The following is a 9752-nucleotide window of genomic DNA, read 5'->3' on the forward strand; positions in this document are numbered from 1 at the left end:
GACCTCGTAATGCACCCGCCTCGGCCTCCTAAAGTGCTGGGATTACAGGTGTGAGCCACGCGCCCGACCAATCATTTTGGTCGACTTTAATGGGCACGTTTCAAGTCATTTTACCGGAGAATACTATCAAAATGAAATGCTCACTACACACTAAATGGGGGGAAAGCTGTTTACAGAACAGTTTCTGGTGAAAAGAGAAAACACGTAGACATAATCTGGATGGCGGAGACTGAAGAGTGATTATCTCTAGGTGGCTGGATGCTGGGTATAGGTTGGCCGCAATGTTATTTTTGTAAGGCTAGGAGAAAAACGTTATTTTAAATATACGGAATTTGCTCCTCTCCAAATCCACTCTCCCTTTCGCCTCCCTAGAGGTTGTCAGGTTCAAGAAGCGGCCCGGAGTTGCAGGAAGGGCGCCGGCGTCACTGGCCCCAAGAGCTCGGAACGCGCGCGCCGCAGGAGTGCCGGCTGCGGGGTCGGGTTGAGACTGGCGGGACCCTCGGCCTCTGCCGGGGTGCGGAAGGTGGATGCTACGGGCAAAGGGGCGGGGCTTGCGGTTCCCAGATCCAGAGGCGGGTTGGGGACGTGAGCCGGCGTCCATGTGTTCTGCACCCCTTCTCGCCCGGTGCCTCTCTCAAGGCACGTTTTCCAAAGTGTGTTGAATTCGGGAATCGATCGAAAATTTCAAGGCCAATTAAATGCCCTCTGATGTAGAGCTCCGATTAGGCCCGAAAGGCTTCAAACAGCCCCTCTAGACCCTCGAGGGTCTTCGCCGCGGTAACCTTAGGCGTCCCCTCCCCGAGAAGTCTCCCTGAGGCTTTCACAGAGGGCGGGAGGGGCTGCGCTGGGGCCTCCGTTCCCAGTGCCCCTGACTGGTGGGGAGGGATGGCCTTAGTGTCTGAGAGCAGAGACCAGATTGACTCCCACTTGAGACCAGAAAACGAAGAGGAAGCGGAACCCGAGGTGGCTGCGGCTCCCCCGGGACACAACCGGGAGAGGAAGTCCTGGCCATCTGCCGGCCCCGCCTGGGGGCATCTGCTCGAGGATCCCTGGGAGCCGTTATCGTATTCCTCAGAATCTGCCGTGCTGTCCCTCCGCCCCCAAAACCAACAGGACACCCATTCTGTGATTCTCTTCTTCTCCATCGCCCAGTTGGAGGCTGCTGGGGACCAGGAGAAAAAAAATGCCTTTCCCGAGTTCTCTAATTCAAATGCTTATCAGCTTTGCACACCATTCGGCCTTTCCAAAAGGGACCAGAAAACAAAGATATGCTAATGACAAAGGATAATTGAGACCTCGCCTGCCTTGCATATTTTGTTCATAGAAGCTGTAGCAATAATAATGTAATCCTACCTCCCCATTTGACATGTAAGGAAACTAAGGCCCATTGGAGTGACAGGCCAGGCTTGGGTGGCTTGTAGCTTCAGTCCATAATGACAGCTGTGAAAGAATTCAAATAAGGTCTATGGACGCTTCTTAGGAGGGTTTCCCATCTAATTTCCATCTGCTCAGCTACTAATGCCTGGAAAAATGGATGAAATAGTTGTTACCTGTCTTGAATGAAGAATTATCTATAAGTGCCCCAGAGATAACACCTGCTATACACAGAATTTGCTATACAGAGAATTTGGATTACTTTCAGCTTAGCATTGTATTGTGAGTGTTTCCCAATGTCCTGAAGAAGGTTCTCAAAAATGTTTGTAGAAAGAATGCCAAACAGTCTTTGAAAAACTTCAGTTTTAGTAACTACCCAATACTCAATTTTAGCAATGTGCCACAAGTCCTATTGCTGAACATTTAGGCTGTTAGCAGTTTTCATCATCAAAAAGAGTGCTGCTAACATTCTTGTTCATATATCTTTGTATTTCTGACTCTTTGGAAGGAATACCCAAAACTGAAATTTCCGGGTTAAAGACTGCAGACCTGGCTGGGCGTGGTGGCTCACGCCTCTAATCCCAGCACTTTGGGAGGCTGAGGCGGGCGGATCACCTGAGGTCAGGAGTTTGAGACCAGCCTGGCCAGCATGGTGAAACCCCATCTCTACCAAAATTACAAAAATTAACCAGGCATGGTGGTGGGCTCTTGTAATCCCAGCTACTTGGGAGGCTGAGGCAGGAGAATAGCTTGAACCTGGGAGGCGGAGGTCGCAGTGAGCCAAGATCGTGCTACTGCATCCAGCCTGGGTGACAGAGTGAGACTCCCTCTCAAAAAAAAAAAAAAGACTACAGATCTTTTGGTGCACAGTGCTTAACTGCTTACTAAAGGGTTGTGCCAGTCTATAGGTTTAGCAGAATAGGTGCACTCGTATCTTTTCATTACCAGTGAGTTTGAGAATACGCAAGAGTGACAAGGTCTTTACGCAGGTAGATCATGATCAGACGGGGTATTCTAGGTATTCTATTCTAAAGGCATCACCTTCTTCTTCTTTTTTTTTTTTTTTTTTTTTTTTTTTTTTTTTGAGATGGAGTCTCGCTCTGTCACCAGGCTGGAGTGCAGTGGTGTGATCTCGGCTCACTGCAACCTCTGCCTGTCAGGTTCAAACGATTCTCCTGCCTCAGCCTCCCAAGTAGCTGGGACTACAAGTATGCGCCACCACGCCCAGCTAATTTTTGTATTTTTAGTAGAGATGGGGTTTTACCATGTTGGCCAGGATGGTCTCGATCTCTTGCCTCGTGATCCGCCCGCCTCGGCTTCCCAAAGTGCTGGGATTACAGGCGTGAGCCACCGCACCTGGCCTTCACCTTCTTTAACTGCACCAAAAACCCATTGTGCTTGGCATCTCTAGCACATCCAGCACCATACATGTTGTTGACTGAATAAATATGTTCCTACCTTGCTTCTGATCCCCCACACCTACTCCCATAGGTCACAACTGCTCAGTTTCTGGGGCTGTCGTCTCTTTGTGCACACTCAGTGGAAAATAGCAGACATACAAGCTGCTGGCAGAAGGTCTAAGGACATCATTACACTGTCTTTCCCATGCTTGTCTTTGCATGTCATGCTTTCGCATTTGTCCTTTTGCTCTGTGTCCTCATCTCCCCTTTTTCACACTGTCATGTGCCCTGGGTGGCTGCTGTCACTCTTACTTGGGGATATTTTAGTTCCAAAGTAATGACAACAAAGGGAAGGCCAGATCACATTGTTCGCACATTCATTCATTTACTCATTTCACAACTATTCATTGAGCCACCTATTATATGCAGTGCTTGTTGCGGACACAGAAGGAAATAATATTGACATTAATATCTAACATTTATTGAACACTAAAGACAGGCACTGCATTAAGGATAAGACTGTGCACAGGATCTTACTTAAGGATTAAGTAAGTACTATTATTTACCCCATTTTACAGATAAGAGAACTAATGACTACAGAAGTTAAAGGTCATACAGCTGGTTAAATGGTGGAGCCTGGATCCCAATCCAGGCTGTCAGCACTCAGACAGATTTCAGAAGAGTGGGGAGTGTTCTAGGCAGAAGGGATATCATAAGCAAAGGCCCTGAAGCAGAAAGCAGTTTGGCTTGTTAAAAACTAGAAGAAGGCCGGTGGCTCACGCCTGTAATCCCAGCACTTTGGGAGGCCGAGGCGGGTGGATCACCTGAGGTCGGGAGTTCGAGACCAGCCTGAACAACATAGAGAAACCCTGTCTCTACTAAAAATACAAAATTAGTTGTGCGTGGTGGCGCATGCCTGTAATCCCAGCTACTCAGGAGGCTGAGGCAGGAGAATCACCTGAACCTGGGAGGCAGAGGTTGCAGTGAGCCAAGATCATGCCATTGCATTCCAGCCTGGGCAACAAGAGCAAAACTCCGTCTCAAAAAAAAAAAAAAAAAAAAAAAAAAAAGCTGAAAGAAAGTTTATGTGGCCATAACAGAGTTCTAAAGGGAGCCCAAGACCTAATTGGAGGAAGAGGCAAGGCCTTGTAGGTCAGTGTTAAAGATTTTGGACTACAGAGGCTGGGCACGGTGGCTCACACCTGTAACCCCAGCACTTTGGGATGGCGAGGTGGGTGGATCATGAGGTCAGGAGTTCGAGACCAGGTTGGCCAACATTGTGAAACCCTATCTCTACTAAAAATACAAAAATTAGCCAGGTGTGGTGGCGGGTGCCTATAATCCCAGCTACTCAGGAGGCTGAGGCAGGAGAATTGCTTGAACCTGGGAAGCCGAGGTTGCCGGGAGCCCAGATCACACCACTGCACTCCAGCCTGGGTGACACAGCAAAACTCCGTCTCAAAAAAAAAAAAAAAAAAAATTGTGGACTACAAATGTGAAGCTTTTACAAGGTCTTGAGGCCGGCAGTAGCTCACGCCTATAATCCCAGCACTTAGGGAGGCTGAGACGGGAGGATCACTTGAGCCCAAAAGTTCAAGAGCAGCTCGGGCAATAGAGTGAGACCTTGTCTCTACAAAAATATAAAAAATTAGCTGGGTGTGTGTCTGTAGTCCCAGCTATCAGGAAGGCTAAGGTGGGAGGATCACCTGAGCCCAGGAGGTCAAGGCTGCAGTGAGCCGTGAGTGTGCCACTGCCTGGATGACAGAGACCCTGTATCAAAAAAAAAAAAAAAAGAAAGAAAGAAAGAAAAGAAAAGAAAAGGGGGTGGGGGCTTAAGCAAAGGAGTGATAACATTGTGTTTTGAAAAGATGCCTCTAGCTGGGAAGAAAATGATCTGGATTGGGGCAAGAACAGATATAAAAGTTATTTTATCAGATGGGTTGAGATGAGGGCCTTAGGCTTCTGAGATGAATTGCATGAACTGGGTGTGAGGTGTGACAACCAGCTTGCTAGGGCAGTAGATAGTGGTGCCATTCCTCAGATAGGGACCTGGGGATGGGATGGAGACACTGTCAGGTTTGTAGGAAAGATCTTGAGTTTAGTTTTAGATGTGTCAAAGTCAGTTGCCTCTGAGACACACAAGTAGAGATTCCATGTAGAAAGACAGATCAAAATGTAGGAATTGTCAGTGTACAGATGGCAATCGAAACAAGCTATGGCAATGCAGGAGACTGTGCAGGGACAGAGAGAACAGTGACAAGAGTGCAGGGCACAAACATTTACAGGTTGAATGCAGGAAGCCTGTAAATGTACCCCAGGAACCAGGAGCGGGGAGGAACATCAGAGGGCAGCACATATTTCAGGAGCCGACTCGCCTGCTGGACATGGAAGTTGGAGTATCCTTGGGACCAGGGTTTGCAGGGCTCTCAGATTTGTAAACTGCAGTTAGTGATTCTGCTGTGGGCTGATGGGCAGCCCTCCTTCTGCTCCATTTGTTTCAGCAGAACATAATTTTGAAGGTCTAGCAAGTGAACTTTAGGCCTCATTTTGTAGTTTCTTTTTTTTTGAGACGGAGTCTCGCTCTGTCACCCAGGCTGGAGTACAGTGGCGCGATCTCAGCTCACTGCAAGCTCCACCTCCCAGGTTCACGCCATTCTCCTGCCTCAGCCTCCCAAGTAGCTGGGACTACAGGTGCCTGCCACCATGCCTGGCTAATTTTTTTTGTATGTTTAGTAGAGACAGGGTTTCACCATGTTAGCCAGGATGGTCTCGATCTCTTGACCTTTTGATCCGCCCGCCTCGGCCTCCCAAAGTGCTGGGATTACAGGCATGAGCCATGCACCCGGCCTCGCTTTGTAGTTTATTTCAGATTTTTACATGTATATCTCAATTAACAAAGAAAAGGGGGTAATTTAATGAAAGAACACATTTTGCTGTCAACATTTCATTACTCTTATCTTCCACCATTTCCACATCAGCTATTATCAAGTAAATACAAGTGGACATTTTTAAGTACAGTATCTTCAGAATTGTACAAATAGGAAATGAAGTTCTGAACCCTGATGTTCAGAAAACACCAAGGTGTAGCGTTTAATTGCTTTCCAAGACCCATTCATGACTTGTCTCATTTAGGCACTATTTTTTCCCCAAAGCAGATTGCGTCAACAACCATCGAGTCCCTGCTATGCAAGACATAAAACTGCTGAGATGATCCTACTAGTAACTATTTAATGAAAGAAAGATGGGAGGAAGGAAGGGAGCAAGAGAGGGAAAGAATGAGAAGATGAGTTTTGCAATAAAAGAGTCCATAATTTGGTGGTGAAGATCTATTTCAAATAGCTAGTAGATGTTATCTCTCTTTTGGTAAAATAATGACAATATGCTTATTTCCTAAGCACGTGGTTGAAAATCAATCTTTGTGCACTCTGGATCAAATAGGCATGCGAATATAAAACACCTTATGTGAGATGGATCATTTAAAATAGAGTATAAAGACAGTGAGTTTGTATTTGAAATGACAAAACAAACTTAAATCACCCTGCATGATAGCCAATTTCAACCTCTCCGCTTTTTAGCAATTTATCAACCAATCATTAAGTGAGTTAACTCTACACCCAGGGAATGCTGATGGCAGCATTAGCCATAAATAAATAAGCTAATATGTACAATAGCTAAATGAATAGACTTTTCCTTGGTGTTTTATGGCCTGAAAAGAATGCAGCTTTTCATTAAAGGAATCATTTGAAAATGTGGAAACTGATACTGCCGCCGTTCAGTGCTCTCTGCCCATTGATAATGGCCTCTGTATTAGTTGTGGGGGTGGGAGACTGATGTCCATTTACTTTTGCAAAGATTGTTATTGAATGAAACCTTTAATGGGGGCGTTTTATGATCCCACTCAGCTAAGAGCTCAGGGTTGCCTTAGAATAGTCTTTCCCTTCACCTCGACAGCTCTTAGAGAATCAATACAGGTAATATGTCAGTTGGTGGTCAGCAGTCCTGCAAGTAGAGGTAGAGTTGAAATGGAAACTGACAGGTAGCCACTTAGAGAGAGGGCCTGGAGTAAACACTCTGAAAAGTGAAGCTTCTCCTGGGAGTGGGGAGTGTGCAGCCCTCACACTATCATCAGTGCCGGGATCCGATAGGAAGAGCTAGGAACAAAGACAAGACAGCAGGGGAAAAGCCTCTCAGAGCTGGGGGAAGGCTGTCCATTGGGGCAGTACCTTTAGAGCCCCAGGATTCATATGGTTTGTCCACTTGTAGCATCTGTCATTGGTCTAATTTTAAAAAAATTATTTTAAAATGATTTTTTAAAATTGTGGTAAAATAGATGTAACATTTATTGTCTAAACTTTTTTTAAATTTCTTTTTTTTTGAGACAGGGTCTCACTCTGTCATCTGTCACCCAAGCTGGTGTCCCTGTGGTACAGTCACGGCTCACTGCACCTTCGACCTCCTGGGTCCAAGTGATCCTCCCATCTCAGCCTCCCAAGTAGCTGGGACTACAGGCACACGCCACCATACCTGGCTAATTATTTTGTATTTTGTAGAGATGGGGTTTACATGTTGCCCAGGCTAGTCTCGAACTCCTAGTCTCAAATGATCCTTCCACCTTGGCCCCCCAAAGTGCTGGGATTACAGGTGTGAGCCACTGAGGCTGGCCTTTTTTTTTTTTTTTTTTAATTTCACTAGTTTTGGGGAAATAGCTGGTTTTTGGTTACATGGGTAAGTTCTTTAGTGGGGATTTCTGAAATTTTGGTGCACCTGTCACCCAAGCAGTGTACAATGAACCCAAAATGTAGTCTTTTATCTCTCACCCCCCCTCCCACCCTTCTCCCCCAGTCCCCAAAATCCATTATATTAATGTCATTCTTATCCCTTTGCATCCTCATAGCTTAGCTCCCACTTATGAATGAGAACATACAAGATTTGATTTTCCATTCCTGAGTTACTTCACATTCAGTGGCATTAAGTAAATTCACATTGTTGTGTAGCCACAGCCATTATCCAGCTCCAAAACTCTTCATCTTGCAAACCTGATTCTCTACAACCATTTAACAGTGACACCCTGCAGGCCCAGTGACCACCATTCTACTTTCTGTGAATTTGACTACTCCAGGTACCACATATTAGTGGAATCATAGTGTTTGTCCTGTTTGGGTTGTGAGTTTAGGTTTCTCAGAGAGAATTTCCCCTATGCTGCCTTTAAGCATTTTGTGATTAATATACTGTAATTCACAGACAGATCTCTATTTTTGAGAGTCATTTTGTATTTGTTATTCAAGTAATAGTTTACAAACATCTGTTTCTTCGTATTTACTTTCTCTCCCTCTCAAATCTTGCCACATCTTGAAAAAACAATTGCATGTAAGTATCCAGCTAACTGGTGAACCAGGAGGTGCCTTTGCAATTCATAAATTGGCAATTGCAAAAGTTCCTGGCTGACAGTGTTCAAGTGTCTTCTTCCTCTTACTGGGCACTTGAGTCTGCAGGCTCAAAACCCCCAGGCAGCCAGAGCCTGGAGGGCCTTAAAGGGCCTTATATTGGAGCATTGTCTTTGCACTGGCCTTCCCAGGCCCTGCAGTCCTCCCCTTGGGCACGTGCACAAGACTGGGATCCCATGTCACACCAGCCACATGTCACACCAGCCATAACCTAAGCTACTAGTCAACAGGAAAGATTTCAGACCCCCCTGTTATCATCAGGAATAGAGAGACCCACCTTGGACTTGCCTTGAGGGGGTTTTAGGGCTGAAGGGATTTGGTATAGTATTTAACAACTGGGAAAGAGAGACGGCCGGTTCCCTCTAAGGAGAATCCGGAACAGCAACCTTGGAAGACACCGTACACAGTTTTAATGGAAGATAGATTCAAAATCAAATTTAAGAGAATTTGGTTCTGGCACCTTTAAATCAGATAACCCGGGGGAGTGGAATTCACCTAGAGGGCTCTTCCCTAGGTCAGGTCTGCACAGCCTTGTAGCAGTAAGGTTGAGGAAACTTTTCCAAAGGAAAAAAAATCCTACTGACCCCAAAGCAAGCTTAATGGGGATAAAATGAGTGATTTTGTTTTGCAGTTTTCCCTCTGCATTCTCTGGCTGCATCTCAGTACGTGCATTGGTTAATAATGCGAACCCCACCCCCAACCCCCAGCTATTCAGGAAACTGAGTCAGGAAGATACCTTGAGCCCAGGAGTTTGAGTGAGTTATAATGGCCACTGCACACCAGCCTGGGCAACCAAGTGAGACCCTGTCTCTGTCTCTTTAAAATAAATAAATACACAAAAAGGCCAGGCACGGTTGCTCACCCCTGAAATCCCAGCACTTTGGGAGATCGAGACAGACGGATCACTCGAGCTCAGGAGTTCAAGACCAGCCTGGGCAAGATGGTGAAACCCCATTTCCCCAAAAATACAAAAATGCCAGACGTGGTGGTGTGCTCCTGTGAGTCCGGCTACTCAGGAGGCTGAGGCAGGAGAATCGCTTGAGCCTGAAAGGCTGAGTTTGCAATGAGAGAGATAGCGCCACTGCACTCTAGCCTGGGCGACAGAAAGAGACTATGTCTCAAAACAAAACACAAATGCCAAGAATTAAAAAAATAATATATTAGGTAAGAAAAATCTTACATAATATTTTCATTATTAACACTTAAAAAATTGTGCTTGCACCGGGCGCGGTGGCTCACGCCTGTAATCCGAGCACTTTGGGAGGCCGAGGCGGGTGGATCATGAGGAGGTCAGGAGATCGAGACCATCCTGGCTAACACGGTGAAACCCCGTCTCTACTAAAAATACAAAAAAATTAGCCGGGCGTGGTGGTGGGCGCCTGTAGTCCCAGCTACTAGGGAGGCTGAGGAAGGAGAATGGCGTGAACCTGGGAGGCGGAGCTTGCAGTGAACCGAGATCGCCCCACTGCACTCCAGCCTGGGTGACAGAGCCAGACTCCGTTTCAAAAAAAAAAAAAAAAGTGCTTGCTTCAGC

The 9752-nt window shown here is 46.2% G+C and overlaps 1 annotated feature.

The window, feature by feature from the left end:
* Positions 886–945: an enhancer, noted in NCBI's record as "active region_27504". NCBI's record gives its function as "activates an Ori minimal core promoter by ATAC-STARR-seq in GM12878 lymphoblastoid cells {active_cell/tissue: GM12878}" and the evidence as "EXISTENCE:reporter gene assay evidence [ECO:0000049][PMID:35858748]".

This window comes from Homo sapiens, chromosome 8 (assembly GCF_000001405.40).
Source record: "Homo sapiens chromosome 8, GRCh38.p14 Primary Assembly".
NCBI classification, from domain to species: domain Eukaryota; kingdom Metazoa; phylum Chordata; class Mammalia; order Primates; family Hominidae; genus Homo; species Homo sapiens.